Source organism: Homo sapiens, chromosome 22 (assembly GCF_000001405.40).
Source record: "Homo sapiens chromosome 22, GRCh38.p14 Primary Assembly".
NCBI lineage: Eukaryota > Metazoa > Chordata > Mammalia > Primates > Hominidae > Homo > Homo sapiens.
This window is the reverse complement of record NC_000022.11, coordinates 26,363,234-26,379,606: the sequence shown is the minus strand read 5'-3', so window position 1 is coordinate 26,379,606 and position 16,373 is coordinate 26,363,234. Positions and strand designations below refer to the sequence as shown.

Sequence of the window (16,373 nt, the reverse complement as noted above, 5' to 3'; positions counted from 1 at the left end):
ATGTATTCCAAGCTCCAGGGACAAGGAGCAAGGAGATAGAAGAAGGCTCAGCCCTGGAAGTTGACACTGTCACATGCTTTAATGAAAGTCTCCAGCTCCCATTCAGCCAACACAGATATGCAATCACATCTATGCTTCATGGTACATGGGATTTTGGTGGGCAGGCCCCAAGGTGGTCCCCATGATCCCCACCTTCTGGGGCTCATGCCTTTGTGGGGTCCCCTCCTTTTAAGGGTGGGTAAAGCCTGTGACTTGATTCTAACTAGGAGAATACACAGGTGCTAGGATGTCACTTCCATGTTTGCATGACACAGGATTGTGACTTCTGTCTTGCAAGATGACTCTCTCTCTGTTGCTGGCTCTGAAGAAGCCAGCTGCCATGTCATGAGCTGCTCTATAGAGAGGCCCACATGGAAGAAACTGCGGGTGGCCCCTAGAAGACAGCCCGCAAGAAATTGAGGCCCTCATTCTAACAACCTGCAAGGAACTGAATGCTGTCAACAACCATGTGAGTTTGGAAGTGGATCCTTCCCTGGTTGAGCCTCAGATGAGACTGCAGCCCAGTTGCTGCCTTGTTTGTAGCCTGTGAGCCATAAAGCAGGGGGTCAGGCTAAGCTGTGCCTGGCTTCCTGACTTATAGAAACTATGAGATAATAAATGTATGTTGTTAATTTAGGCCCCTAAGTTTGCAGTAATATTGTTACACATCAGTGGATAACTAACACAGGAGATCAGAGAAGTGGAGGTGAAGGAAGGTTAGCAGGATAAGAAACAAGTCAGGTTTATTCCCCCCAAACGTTGGGAGATGGCTGCACATCATTACACAGTGAACTTGAAGGATGGTGGTTTTGCAAACTCATAACCAGCCTTTTGCTTCCTCGCATGTGCCCTGGACCTTTGCACATGCTCTCCCTTCTGTCTGGCATCTTCTTCAGCCCATTGTCCAAGCTCTACCCACTTCCCATGTCTCAGCTTTACTCTCACTTTCTCAATGATGCCTTCCCCAACTCCCTCTAAGTGTCCCCATTATACATTCTCCTAGTGCCCTGTTCAATTTTTTCATAGTCCTTAAAAAGTATTATTTGTTGTAATCAAAATATTCATGGGCACATTGGATTGTCAGAGGTTCGAGGGAAGCAAGATAGCATCATGATTAAGAGTGTCAGGTTGAATTTGCATCCTGGCTTCAGGCTGTGCATCCTGGCTGTGTGCCACTTTGGCCAAATTATTCTTTCCTCTCTCTGGACCTCAATGTCCTCATCAATCAATTAGAGATAACTGTGGAACCTATTGCAGAGAGCTGCAAGGATTCAAGGAGATTATGCATTTAAAGTGCCCAGCAGATGGCATGTATTATTATTGATAATAATAATTCACAAGACGGTAGGCTCATTAATGGTGGAATCTGTGTCTATTGGGGTTCATGACTATGTTCCTAGCACCTAAAATAGGACCTGATACTCAAATGTGTAGGGATGTTTCACACTGCCATTGAATAAAGGGTGGAGCCCAGTGGGATGTGTGGGAATGCAGCACGTTGCCACCAGGCCACCGTTGGTCTGCTCTCTGTGGGTCTTGGGTGCAGCCTCTTTTTTCTGTGGGTGTTCTGCTGACAGTAATCAGCCTCCTAGGCTCGTCCTCAGCACCAATCACCTGCAAAGAGAGCTGGGTTCTCCCAGCATTTATCTCTTTAGGGCTCTTGGTGGGGATAAGACAGGACCACTGGCTGTGCCTCTTGTGAGCAATAGGAAATGAAATGTTTTGTCTTATTGTTGGTGAATTCAGAGCAAAGAGGGAGGGAATTGGGAAGAGACGAGAGAGACCAACTCACCCCTGTCTCGTAAATGGGGTTGTCAAACTCGGTTTCCACGGTGATCTGGCTGTAGGGGTGGGAGTACATCAGAGGCAGGCGGAGGTTGGAATAGTAGCGACATCTGGGGGAAAGAAAGGAGAGAGAAGTTACTTCTCCCCAGCTAGGAGAAACATTACAATATTGAACGGGAACAGTTGGTGCCACTTCCTGAGCAGCGGCACCTCTGTGAATGACGACGAGGATGTGTGCAAACAGCCTTTTGCAGGCGAGAATCCTAGTGAGGTGAAAGCAGAAATCATAATTGCTCTCAACTTGCAACCCAGGCAGCGAGAACCAAAGCCTTGTGATCTCTCCTTACTAGGGAGGGGGCGGAGCTTAATTTGTTTTCTCCTGGAAGGTCATTCAAGTCCCTCTTGAATGCAAAGGGAAACAAGAACAAGGATGAGCATTTATTGAGCACCTACTGTATGCCATATTGCCTTAGATCAGCCTTCCTTGACCACCTATTTATTTATTTAGAGACAGGGTCTTGCTCTGTCACCCGGGTTGTAGTGCAGTGGTGCCATCTCAGCTCACTGCAACCTCTGCCTCCTGGGCTCAAGTGATTCTCCTACCTGCGTGCACCACCACACTTGGCTAACTTTTTAAGTGTTTTATTTTTTTTATTTTTTAAGAGGCGAGCTCTCACTATATTGCCCATTGCCCAAGCTGGTCTCAAACTCCTGGGCTCACGCGATCCTCCAGCCTTGGCCTCCCAAAGTGCTGGGATTATAGGGATGAACCACCATGCCTGGCCCCTGACCATCTATTTAAAGGTGATTTCTCTGTTACTCACCACACCTACCTATTTCCTTCATTGTGTTTATCTTAGTGTGTTATAATTTATTTGTGTATTTACTCTACCCTGCCCCCAGTAGACTGTGGGCTCCATAAGGGCAGGGATGATCTATTTTAGTCACGTTCCTGCCTCAGGACCTTTGCACATGCTGTTTCCCTGCATGAAACCCTCCTTTTTCACATATTTGCATAGGTTTCTTTTGTTTTTGAAATGGAGTCTTGCTTTGTTGCCCAGGCTGGAGTGCAGTGTCATGATCTTGGCTCACTGCAACCTCCTCCTCCCAGGTTCAAGTGATTCTCCTGCCTCAGCTTCCCAAGTAGCTGGGATTACAGGCACCCACCACCATGCCCAGGCTAATTTTATTTTTTATTTTTTTAGTAGAGACGGGGTTCCACCACGTTGGCCAGGCTAGTCTCGAACTCCTGACCTCAAGTGATTCACCTGCGTTGGCCTCCCAAAGTCTTGGGATTACAGGTGTGAGCCACCACGCCTGGACTGCATAGGTTTCTCATGATCACTTTCAAGTCCTTGCTCAAATGTCATTTCTCAGTGGGGCCTCCTCTAGCTACACTATTTAAAAGTCAACCACCACTTCTCTTCCAGAATTCTTGCCCCCTCCCAGCCTTCTCTTCCTGCACTTATCAGTTTCTAACACTACATATTTTCTTACATACTTTGCTTATTGTCTATCTTTCCTTGTTAGAACCTGAACCCCAGGAGGGCAAATATTTCCTTCTATTTTTTTTTTTCCACAAATGATGTTTCTGGAACCGAGAAAACTGCCTGGCACCTAGTAAGTGCTCAACAACTGTGAATGTGAATGAATGAGTGGCTATTCTGGTGCATGGTTTAATATCTTCCTTCTGCATCAAATGCAAGTTTCTAGACCCTCAACACCTGGGACAATGTCTGATATACAACAGATTGTCAGTACATATTTGTTGAATAAATGAGTGAATGAGTGAGTGATGGAAGGAACAAATCAACATGCCTGGCAATATGTTATGTCTGTGTGCCCCACTAAACCATAACCTCCTTGAGGGCAGGAATAGTATTTGTCTTACTTGCTTGGAGGCTTCATAATTGCCCAATGTAAATATTTATCCCACAGAGTTGGGCTGAATCTGGGCATCTCTGCAATAACACAAATGCCACTATGCCCGAGCTCCAGGTGGAGACCCTGAGGCTCAGAGAGGTGAACCGCCCAGTCCCTCTGAGTACTGGTGGCTGGGTGCTTGGCAGTCATCTCCCCCATCAGCTCCCTACCTTGTGATGTAAATGTAGGCTCCTCCCAGCAGTAAGGAGATGATGAGGACCGGGATGAAGATAGCCAGGGCCATGTTCCCCCCTTCCAGCGACGTCTCTGCTGCCGCTTCTGCTACTGAACACAGGAGCCAGTGAGGTCCTCATTTCCCAGGTAGCTGACTCCCAGTGAGTGCCCAACTGCCCAGTTCTCCACCCCTTTGGAGACGGCTTTCCAAGGTCTAAGGCTCTGGGAGGGCCTTAGACCTTGCAGAGCCATCTCCAAAGACTAGAGGAAATGGTGGTGGTCCTTTGCAAGGGGTCCCAGACTCATCCTTTGGTGGGTTGGCCATAGGAGCTATAGAGAATTACACTGTTTGAAACCTGATCGTACCATTCCCATTTTTTGGGAGCTACAGTTAAAATCTGATTAAAGTCCAATTCACAGGAAGACTTGGAGAAAATCCCAAATTCAGTAACTGGGAAAGCAGATTTGCTGGACATTCCATGGAGTGGAGAAGAGAAACAGGAATGGGTCTGGACCCCAGATGCAGGAGTGGTGGGCGAATCTGGGTTTGTGTATGTCGTTGAGTTGAACGGTGCTGGTGGTCAGCCGCAAGGTTTCTAAGGGATTCTCAGACCTGGTGCTCACCTGTGGACTGGTGAGCTTGTTGCATGCAGACTGACGGGCCCGTCCTAGACCTTTTGAGTTCTACTCTCCAGTCCACGAGTGGGCTCTGAGCATTGGGGACTGACAGCTCTCTGTCCTGCACACCCCAATGACACCCCAAATATGAAGGCCCGTTTTGATTCCCAGAGGCTACTCCTGCACATTTCCCGGCTGCTCTCTCAACCTCCCACTGTGGCAATTGCAAGAACTATAACAGCTGCTGCAGGCGCCTGGGGCAGAGGGCTGCTTTCCCAGCATAGCTTAAAGGGGGATCCTACATTCCTTCTAGAAACTTGGCCTCCAGGTTTCCTCTGCCATTCTCCACGGTCACATCTAATAGAGCTTGGCTGTACACCAATCTATAACCCATTAACCACCACTTTATGGGGTCTGAAAAATCAATCCTAATACCCAGAATAAATGCATGAGCACAAAACGTTACAATGGCTCTCATAAGCTCCGAGCAACCCCAGCCCTTTGAGACGTTCTCATGGTTCACTGGTTGGCAAAAGGCAGAAAAAGGATACTCTGAATGGAGACTAACACGAAGTGCCCTCTGTTTTCCAAGTGGAGTGTATAATTCATGCTCCTTCATTTATATATGAGCCCTAGTTCCACCTGCTTGGATTCAAGTGTTGTCTGTTACAAGGAACAGCCACTAGTGAAATGTAATTTACATAGCCCCAGATTCTAAGTGAACTCATTATTGTCAGAAAGCTAAAGATGGCTCCAGGAATAATAAAAACTGCTTGATTTGGTAAAAACATTAAAAAAAAAAAAGAAACAATATATTACAGTATATATTTTTAAATATATATGCTATAATATACTGCATTTGTATTTACATATATATACATGCAGTAATATATTACAGTATATATTTTACATCACAGTCCCGGTGAGTGGTTTTGTACCAAATTCAATAGCGGTGACATAGAACGCTGGACATTTTACACACGGGAGGGGTTGGAAAGGGAAGGAACCACAAAATGAAAACAAAACTGAAATAAAATCCTGGATAGATTTTAACATCTGCTCCTCATTAATAAGTCTCATTTGGGAATTTCTAATAAAAGGAGAGCTGAAGTAAGGAGAGATGGGAGAAGGGGTGGGTATGCTGAGGGGAAAAAAGACTCAGGGAAAAATGGACCATTGAATGCTTCCAGGGCAAACTCTTCCCTCTGGAAACCAGGAGGACTCTCAGCATGGAAGGTGACATGTCACTAGATTTAGTTCCCCTTCTAGAATGGCATCATGAAAAGTTTTACAATAGGGTTATGCCTTTCTCAGGCTTATGGGCTCTGAGCTTTCCTTATCTCATTGCTGTTACCATGTACAGAACAGCTGTCAAATCCCTTTCAGGTTATTGTTAGGGTCCTGACTTGCAAATCCCATAATTTTTTTTCCCCTACAATATTATTTTAAGATTATCTTTGGCAGTCTGAAGGTAGAATTTATTTATTTTTTAAGTGTCTAAATAAAGATATTCAAAGACCTGCCCTTGTTTTGTGCTATTAGTTTGATTTATTGAACTTTTTTTTTTTTCGTTCTGGAACTCACCTTCTAAAGCATGTTCAAAACTGTCTTGATTAACTGAAAGAGAAATCAGGAAGCATTGGTCAATGTAAAGTGAATTCACTTCGTTTGCATGAAATGAGGCCAAAAAATTTGATGCAAAAGCCCATGCCATGCTTTGGTGAAGTTAGTGGTATGTTTTTACTTATCTTGGGCCACTATAATCAGTGAACGTGCCTGGACTATTCACTTCCTAAGTTACCAAGAGAAGATGAGATAGATAAGACCCAAGATCAACAACAGTGATAGTGAATAATTACTGAACACTCACCGCGTGTCCAAAATTGTGCCAAGAACTCTACATACATTTGCTCAGTTAATCCTCATAACAATCTTGTTAGGTCAATGCTATTATCATCCCCATTTTACAGATGAGCAAACAGAGGTTCAGAGAAGTGAAGTGACTTCTCTGACATCACACAGCTTCTCAGTGATGGAGGCAGGATTTCAGTCTGGGCTGCTCAAGCTCTCTGGTTTCTGCTCTCAATTATGTGGTTAGGGTCTTTTCATCATTTTCATGTGGGGCAAAGCACGAATGAATTGCGAGGCCCCAGACCTTCATACAAAATCCAGCCAGAGGTGGAACTGTTTTCCTGTTTTGAAGACTATCTATGTAAACCTCTCTAATTTCATTTTTATTCCTTTTATATTGATGAGGCTTTGTATCCCATGTGAAACTATTTTTAATCATTTATGTTTTTTGTAAAACTTCTCCGGAGGTTCAACATCATGGGGACTGGCACCCCATCTTTGTCATCAGTCATCATGGTAGCTAAGCACAAAAATATACCAACAAGGATGGATGTTTATTACAGGAATGCAAAACCCCAGCATGAAGGACTTTGATGAAAAAATTGCAGCATTAGGGGATAGGAGGGAGTGGCCACCAAAGGCTTAGCTATACTGATGTCCCCAATCCCAAGACACCCTAATCCATGCCTTGGTTAAAGTCACTCTCTGGTTTACGCCATCATCACACCATGATGACAAAACCAGCTGAAAAGCTAGCTGGCTAACTAAGTGCACACTTCTCTGCAGCTTTGGCATCAAGAAAATGGAAAGATTGAAGCAGATGGTCCTGCCCCAAGATGTGAGTTGCACCGTGGTTGAGTGAGAGTGCGTGAATGTCCATGGAATCTTAGAACTGGGAGGAGGCATTGAATCATGTGTTCCTTGGAGCCCTGTGCTCATGAACCCCACAGGGCATGTTAAATGCAGATTCCTGGGCCATTCCTGGGACTTGTCAGAGCGGTATTCTCAGCGGTGGACCTCTGCAGGTCTCACCAATGCCTCAGCAGTTCTGATGCATCCAGTGGGCTCACTGGCTCCTCTTCAGAAACTCTGATCTGGACTCCCCCAGTTATTTCACAAAAAGGGAAACCAAGGTCAGAGAGGGAGGGGGGCTCACTCAAGGTCACACAGGTGGTCCACAGCAGAACTGGACTGGAGCCCGGGGTCCCCAAGTCCCAGTCAGGTGGCCTCACATTGGCACTGAGTTGCTTCCCCTCCTGCATACCACAATGTCATGCATCCCAGTTTTTTTCTGAGGAGGAAGTGATTTCTCATTTCCTTACAGAGTTGGTGGTGGGACGGATCTCAGGAGTGGAAATGGAGAGGGAAGAAAGGTGCAGGGGTCTCCTGAGAGCCTTTCTTGCTAGCAATTCCATCACAGTTGTGGGAGAAGGCAGTGAGCTGATTGACCTTGTGGGGCTTCTAGAGATACTAGCCCATAGAAAAGAGAGGTTTCAGGGATCACCTGCAAAATGGAGCCTCTTTTTATCTTTTCGTGTTTTTTTTTTCCTTTTTTTGTCATTTGTGTATATTATTATTATTTTTTAAGACAGAGTCTTGCTCTGTCACCTAGACTGGAGTGCAGTGGTGCAATCTCAGCCCACTGCAACCTCGGCCTCCCGGTTTCAAGCGATTCTCCTACTTCAGCCTCCAAGTAGCTGGGATTACAGGTGCACACCACCATGCCCAGCTACATTTGTGTATATTCTGATGGTAGTTTTATTTTCTTTTCAGTTTGGCAGCATTAAAAAAAAATTGAAAACATACAGTGCTGGCGAGGAGGTGGAGAAATGGACATATTACACATTGTTGGTGAGCGTGGATTGCTCCAATTGTGGGAAACGATTTGGTGACATCCAGGACAACTCGATATCCATAGATCTTTGCCCACACCATCAATCCTGCTTTGAGGAATCTGTCCTGCAGGATGAAAAGTGCCAGCATCCAAGGATTCATGGGCAAGATTTTTTTTGGCAAAACAAAACAAACAAAAAACTGGAAGAGAACTGATGTCTCCATCAACAGAGGAAGGGCTGAATGCACTGGGGAACAAGCAAAGTGTGGAATGACGGGTGGCAAATAAAAAAAATAACATGGCACTACTTTTGTAATAAGTAAAACACAGAATACAGCATGATATGAACCTCCCTCCCTTTTTTTTTTTTTTTTTTTGTGATACAGGGTCTTGCTCTGTTTCCCAGGCTGGAGTGCAATGGTGCAATCATGGCTCACTGCAGCCTCAACCTCCTGGGCTCAAGCAGTGCTCCTGCCTCAGCTTCCCAAGTAGTTGGGACTACAGGAGTGTGTCACCATGCCCCGCTAATTTTTTGATTTTTTGTAGAAATGAGGTCCCACTATTTTGCCTAGGCTGGTCTCGAACTCCTGGGCTCAAGTGATCTTCCCACCTCGGCCTCTCAAAGTGCTGGGATTACAGGTGTAAGCCACCACACCCAGCCTTTTTTTCTTTTCTTTTTTTTTTTCTGTAAAACAAAAACAAACATCCCTCTCTCTTTCCAAATATGTCTATGTGTATAAGACTAGGGAAAGGTGTGACACTGGAAATTCAGGTGATTAGCACTGGCTTCTGGAGAAGAAAGAAAGGGATGGAGGAGAGAGGAAAACTGCTCCTTCCATTTGAAGCTCTGATTTCTTCTACTTGTTCCATGAGATACCTTTGCAATTAATCCAAGAAGAATTTAAAAAGCTACCGTGGCAGATACAAACACGTTGTCCAGGCCAAAGTGGCCCTTTTCATGGTTTTCTTATTTAGGGTTTTTTTTCTTTCTTTTTTTTGAGATGGAGTGTCGTTCTGTCACCCAGGCTGGAGTGCAGTGGCTCGATCTCAGCTCACCGCAAGCTCCGCCTCCCACGTTCACGCCATTGTCCTGCCTCAGCCTCCTGAGTAGCTGGGACTACAGGCGCCCGCCACCACACCCGGCTAAATTTTTTTTGTATTTTTAGTAGAGACGAGGTTTCACCGTGTTAGCCAGGATGGTCTCGAACTCCTGACCTCGTGATCCACCTGCCTTGGCCTCCCAAAGTGCTGGGATTACAGGCGTGAGCCACCGCGCCGGCCAAGGTTTCTTAAAAAACAAATCCTGCTAATTTTTCTTCCCTGCAGAAAACTCATCAACAATGTCAAATTAATTTCTATTAATGTCCATGTGACAGTTAGAGGGTTTACAGGCAATCTTTACTCAGGAACTTCCCAATACTTAAGCTCTGCAAAGCAGGTTTCCTGTGCTATCAAAAATAAATTCAGGTCGGGTATGATGGCTCACGCCTGTAATCCCAGCACTTTGGGAGGCTGAGGTGGACAGATCCCTTGAGCCCAGGAGTTCAAGACCAGCTTGGGCAAAATGACAAAACTCCGTCTCTATTAAAAATACACAAATAAAATAAATTCAAACACTGGGCTGGACTTAGTCAAAATTATGGGGGAATGAGGGAAGGCAGCTGTCTTGAATGCTAATTGTGGATTTCTTACTGTTCGCTGCTCTTCAAAAGGACCCCTTGTTCTCTTATTAGGAACTGCTTACGGCCGGGCGCAGTGACTCCGCCTGTAATCCCAGCACTTTGGGAGGCAGAGGTGGGCGAATCACGAGGTCAGGAGATCGAGACCATCCTGGCTAACACGGTGAAAACCCGTCTCTACTAAAAATACAAAAAATTAGCCGGGTGTGGTGGCGGGCGCCTGTAGTCCCAGCTACTCGGGAGGCCGAGGCAGGAGAAATGGCGTGAATGCGGGAGGCGGAGCTTGCAGTGAGCCGAGATCCAGCCACTGCACTCCAGCCTGGGGGACAGAGCGAGAATCTGTCTCAAAAAAAAAAACAAAAGAACTGCTTATATAAGTCATTGTCATTCACGTGATGAGCCCCTGCTTGATACCTGGTAAGATTAAATTGCAACCCTCATGCTAGTGTTTCCCATACTTGGCTGATGATACAATTCACCTGTGTGGTTAGTTAAACTGGTCCCTGGGTCCTGCTTTAGACCCAGTGAATCAGAATCTCCGTGGAAAGGGCTCAGGACTCCGTTTATGTTTGGAAATCACGGCCTTAAATGGTTCTCACATTCAAAGTGCATTTGAGAGCTTGTTAAAAGGCTTATTCCAGGCCCGCCTCTCAATGATTTTGCTTTGGGAGATCTGGGTTAGATTCGGGAATGTGTGAACACACCTAGGTTTCCATGCTGCGGTGACTGGCTGGTTGGGGGTCTTTCTTAGTAGCCCTGAAGGCGGGAAATTTACAGTCATGAGATGCGGGTTCAAGTCCTAGCTTTGTCTTGTACTAGCTGTGTGGCTTTGGGAAAATCACTTAACTTCTCTGAGCTTCTCCTTCCACATCTGTAAAACAGGTAAGATGGCTCACCTATCTTAGACAGTGGTCATAAGACTTAACAGAGGTGATTCAGGGGAATTGTTTTTTTTTTTAGGTAGATAAAATTCACATAACATAAAATTAACCATTTCAAAGTGTTACAATTCAGTGGCATTCAGCATATTCACAATGGTGCGCAACCATGACCTCTGCCTAGTTCCAAAACATGTTCTTCATCTCCAAAACAAGCCCCATACTCAGTAAGCAGTCCCTAGACAACCACGACTCTGCTTTCTGTCTCTATGGATTTACCTATTCTAGATGTTTCCTAGAAACAGAACCCTAAAACATGTGACCTTTTGTGTCTGGCTTCCTTCACTCAGCATAACGGCTTTGAGGTTCATCCATGTTGTGGTATGTGTCAGTATTTCGTTCCTTTTAATGGCTGAATAATATTCCCTTTTTTCTGCCACACTTTTGTTTATCCATTCATCAGTTGGTGGGCATTTGGGTTGTTTCCATCTCGTGGCTATTGTGAATAGTGCTCCTATAAACATTCTTAGACAGGGTTTGCTTAAATACCTGTTTCACTTCTTTTGGAAATATACCTCGGAGTGGACAAACTAACTGGGAAAGTAGTTTTAAGCCTCAGAGCTGGGGTTCATGAATAAGGCATTTGGGGATCCACTGAAGTTAGGGGTTCCCAAGTAGAGACATAAAACTTCATGCTTCTGTTCCTTCTGGAGGGCAAATTCGAGCCTTTTGCCTGATTCTCAAAGGGGCACTAAAGCAATAAAGGTTAAGATCCACTGGCCTAAAACACTGAACATATTTCCGTTACTATTACTGATTGTGCACTTCAAAAGTCCAGATAAACGAATCCAAATTTTACTTAGTGTGTTACAACTTAATTTTAGTGATGAGTGTTCAATGGATTCTAAGATGCAATTTTCTCACTTCACCATCTGGGAGGTGGGGGCGAGGCTTAAAGCAATAATGTGTAATAATAGCTGCCACCAGGTGGCGCTCACGATTCCCCGTGTGCACAAACTGGGGGCGTTAAGAGTATTAGGGTTTGCAGAACGCCAGGTAACGCCCTGGGAGATCACCCTGTAGGCAGTGGAGGAACACTCCTAACCCATGGGAACTAACTGGTTGTGAGGAGGCAGTGCAAGAGGTGGGAAATAATTAAGCAGGGTTCTCTAAGCAGGGGTCAAAAGCAGGCAGAGGTCAGATGCGGTAATCCCAGCACTTTGGGAGGCCGAGGTGGGAGGATCGTTTGAGGCCAGGAGTAGAGACCAGCCTGGGCAACATAGCGAGACCCCCATCTCTACAAAAATAAAAAAATTTAGCTGGGCGTGGTGGCGTGCACTTGTGGTCCCAGCCACTCGCGAGGCTGAGGTAGGAGGATAGCTTGAGCCCAGGTGGTTGAGGCTGCAGTGAGTAATGATCACGCCACTGCATTCCAGCCTGTGCAACAGAGTAAGACCCTGTCTCCAAACAAACAAACAAACAAAAACAAACAAACAAATCAACAAAAACCAGGCTGGATCACAGGGCCGGGACTAGGGCAAGGCGAGAGCTGTCTAGGGCGAGAAGTGTACGGAGACTCTTTTTTTAAGGCTGTTCTACGGGACGCTTGGTCACCTCCTTACATTTTTCACCTCAGGCACCTCTTTTGCCTCAGACTCGTCCCAGCCCTGCCTCAATGTAACTGCAAGCCCCTTGTATCAAAGACTTTAGTTCGTTATGGACGTTCCTACAGAATTCTGCATCCCTGATGCTTTAATGGGACAGGAGCTATGTATGTATGTAAATGTATATATATTTTAGTACACAATGACATTCAACAGGAGCGATATTGAGTGGAAAAATAGGATGTTGAAGACTTGGAGTAAAAAATGATTCTACAGCTGGGTGTGGTGGCTCATACCTGCAATCCCAGCTACTCAGAGGCAGAGGAGGGAGGATCGCTTGAGGTCAGGAGTTCTAGGCCAGCCTGGCCAACATAGCAAGACCCTGTCTCTACAAAAAAATTTAGTAATAATTTAGAAAATCAAAAGTGCCAGACTTTGAAGGTGGGGAAGTTTTAAATACACTGGAACCAGTTTATTTTGCTTGTATTTTGTTTGTTTGTTTGTTTGTTTGTTTGAGACAGAGTCTCACTCTGTCACCCAGGCTGGAGTGCAGTAGCATGATCATAGCTCATTGCAACCTCTGTCTCCTGGGATCAAGTGATCCTCCCACCTTAGCCTCCCAAGTAGCTGGGACTACAGGCACACGTCACCACATCAGGTTAATTTTTGTATTATTATCATTATTTTGTTTTTGTAGAGACAGTTTCACCATGTTACCCAGGCTGGTCTCAAACTCCCCGGCTCAAGCAATCCTCCCACCTCAGCTTCCCAAAATGCTAGGATTACAGGTGTGAGCCACTGCACCTGGGCTGCTTATATTTTCATTTGAACATTTTCATAATTGTGATATATGATAAAAAGCTTAAAGACCTTTATGTTTTCATTTTTTAGATAGAATCTCGCTGTGTCACCCAGGCTGGAGTGCAGTGGAGCCACCTCGGCTCACTGCAACCTCTGCCTCCTGGATTCAAGTGATTCTCTTGCCTCAGCCTCCCGAGTAGCTGGGACTTCAGGCATGCACCGCTACGCCCAGCTAATTTTTTTGTATTTTAAGTAGAGATGGGGTTTCACCATGTTGGTCAGGCTGGTCTTGAACTCCTGACCTCAAGTGATATGCCTGCATCAGCCTCCCAAAGTGTTGGGATTACAGGCGTGAGCTACTGTGCCTGGTCAAAAGCTCCTTTAGTAAGTAAAAATAAAAATGCTAAGCCAGGAGAAGACATTGTGTCATAGTATAATTGGCAGCATGTTTTTTTCTTTTTTAGTGGTGCATAAAGTCATGGTGACATCTTAGATTTAATGAAGTACAGCAGCTCAGCTCTATTATTTTAAAATTTAATTTAATTTTTTTGAGATAGAGTCTCGTTCTGTCCGGGCTGGAGTGCAGTGGCATGATCAAGGCTCACTGCAACCTTGACCTCCTAGGCTCAGGTGATCCTCCCATCTCAGCCTCCCGAGTAGCTGGGACTACAGGTGTGTGCCGCCATGCCTGACTAATTTTTTTTTTTTTGGTAGAGATGGGGGTCTCACTATGTTGCCTCGGCTGGTCTCGAACTCCTAGTCCAATTTTTTAGAGCAAGTTCAGAACTCCTGTGAGCCAGGAGCCTGACATCTCCAGGCCCCGTGGACCCTGTGTGGTGAGTAGGTTTCTTTACCTTTACACACGGGCAGGGGCCCGTTCCAGTGGGATGGCTGTCCCAGGATGCAGCGGATGGTCACTTCACCCATGAGCTCAAAGCCTTCGTAGCACATGAAGGTGAGGGACTCTCCTGGCAGGTAGAGTCGCTTGTACAGGATTTGGTATCCATTTTCAGGCAGCCCTGGGTTGTCACATGCCAGGGACTCCTCCGCTGAAATGCAAGCCAGAAGGAGCTCTGATGAGATGATGCAAATCTTTGGGGAGTCCTGCTCAGAACCCGTGTGATCTAGCTTTGGTCAGCCTCTCCAGCATCCTCTCTCTGCATCCCCACCTTGCATCAGACTGTTTTCTATTTCTCAAACTGTTCTTTCTGTCTTCCACCTCTGGGCACAGATTACATACAGGCAAGGTAGAATGAAGTTGGCTGAGGAATCAAGGTTAAAATATGAGTTCTGTTACTTGTTAGCTGTGTGATCGCCAGCAAGTGGCATAACCTTTCTGATCCTTAGTTTCCTCATTAGCATAACGACGATCAAAGTAATATCTATCTCCTAGGAATTTGGAGGACTAAAATAGGTAAGTAAGGAAATGCTTAAGATGTTTTGTTTTTGGCATGTCATACGTACTTAGTAAATGATGGACGGTGGTGGTGTTTAATTATGAAATCTTCTTCTTGCTTTTCACCTGACACCTAACCTGCGCATCCATTATGACTACGTCTTGTCTTTCAATACTCAATCTTCATTTCTCCTTCTCCAGGAAGCCTTCCTTGATGCCTCCTACCGTGAATTGAGTCGTCAGTCTTCTTAGTTTCTCCAGCACTGCATGCACTGTACTGTACTGAATTAGTTATCTGTTTCCCTCATTGGAGATGAGCCTATCAGAGCAAGCCTGAAGCTCAGGGCCTGGGAGCCTGGCAACAAAAGGCCTCAACTATTACAAATAAGCCCATACTGCCATCTGGTGACTGCTCTCTTCAGCTGCAGACACAAAGTACCCGGTAGCCTAAGACACCCAGGCTGGAGTGCAGTGGTGCAGCACGGCTCACTGCAGCCTTAACCTCCCAGGGTCAAGCAATTCCCCTGCTTAAGCCTTCTGAGTAGCTGGGACTATAGGCGTGTCCCGCCACACTCGGCTTTTTTTTTTTTTTTTTTTTTAAAGTAGAGACAGGGTCTTGCCATGCATCCCAAGCTGGTCTCAAACTCCTGGGCTCAAGCAATTCTCCTGCCACAGCCTCCCAAGGTGTTAGGATCACAGTATTTACTGGAGAGTTGAACCTGCAGGTTTAACCCATTCCAGGCCGCATGTGAGATCTAGTCCTTTTTCAGCACCTGGATGGAATGGACAGCCAGCAAATTGCTTCACACACAGGACTACAAATCCTAAAACATTCTAAACTTTATTATTTAAAAAATTTTAAATTGTAGTAAAATCTACATAACATAAAACTAACCATCTTAACCATTTTAAGTGTACAGTCCAGTAGGTTAGTGTACTTTTACATTGTTGGGCAACTTATGTCCAGAACTCTTTTCATCTTGCAAATCTTAAACTCTATATGCGTTAAACAACTTACCCTAGCCCCTGGGATCCACCATTCTACTTTCTGTCTCTATGAAGTTCACAGCTCTAGTTATCGCATGTAAGTGGAATCAGATAGTATTTGCCTTCTGTGACTGGCTTCTTTCTCTTAGCATAATGTCCTCAAGGTTCATCTAGGTTGCAAGATGTGTCAAAAATTTTCTTCCTTTTCAAGGCTAATATTCCATCGTAGGCAGGTGTCACACTTTGTTTTTCGTTCATCCATCGATGGACACTTGTGTCGCTTCCCCTTTTGGCTACTCTGAACAATACTGCTATGAACATGGGTGTACATGTTAAGCTATGCCCAGATTTCTGACCCACAGAAACTGTCAGATAATAAACGTGTTGTTTGAAGCGTCTCATTTTGCACGATGAATCTCAAGCATGCCTTCAAGACCCAGATTGCTCCCCAAAGGCATGAATTCTGTCCTTGGAACTCTGTCTTATCATCATCATAACTTCAGAATCTTTTCTGGCACTTCTTTCCCAGGCTTTAAACTCATATATGCTCATACCCAGTACAATGCCTGGTTCACAGGAAGCATTCCTTTATTTACTCAGATAATGTTTATTGAGCAATTATTATGTGCCAACAACATAAATAGTACTGAGGACACAGAGGTGAATAAAACAGATATAATCCCTGGTCCTACGGCACTTGTGGTTCAAGGCACACAGTACAGTATAGGTCCCAGCTAGAACCCTTTTCTCTGTGAACATGACTTACATTTGGGCTCTACTCAGCTTGAGTAATGTCAACTGAAA

General features: G+C 45.2%; 1 protein-coding gene across 6 annotated transcripts in view, besides 2 other annotated features; it reads right to left on the bottom strand.

Moving 5' to 3' along the window:
- SEZ6L (seizure related 6 homolog like) overlaps positions 1–16,373 on the bottom strand; it is a 214,135-nt gene that overhangs the window by 3,990 nt on the left and 193,772 nt on the right. For 2 of the 6 annotated variants that reach the window (NM_001184774.2, NM_001184776.2), the window contains 3 exons: positions 14,041–14,235; positions 3,918–4,032; positions 1,832–1,934 (listed from right to left, as the gene is read on the bottom strand). In NM_001184774.2, coding sequence (NP_001171703.1) covers positions 1,832–1,934; positions 3,918–4,032; positions 14,041–14,235 — 413 coding nt within the window. Of the gene's footprint in view, positions 1–1,831; positions 1,935–3,917; positions 4,033–6,123; positions 6,157–14,040; positions 14,236–16,373 lie in introns of all 6 variants that reach the window. The other 4 variants (NM_021115.5, NM_001184773.2, NM_001184775.2 and 1 more) reach the window with 4 other exon arrangements.
- Positions 1,810–2,104: an enhancer, noted in NCBI's record as "tiled region #1030; K562 Activating DNase unmatched - State 12:CtcfO". NCBI's record gives its function as "activates a minimal TATA promoter and a strong SV40 promoter by Sharpr-MPRA in K562 cells {active_cell/tissue: K562}" and the evidence as "EXISTENCE:reporter gene assay evidence [ECO:0000049][PMID:27701403]".
- Positions 11,727–11,846: a silencer, noted in NCBI's record as "silent region_13566". NCBI's record gives its function as "represses an Ori minimal core promoter by ATAC-STARR-seq in GM12878 lymphoblastoid cells {active_cell/tissue: GM12878}" and the evidence as "EXISTENCE:reporter gene assay evidence [ECO:0000049][PMID:35858748]".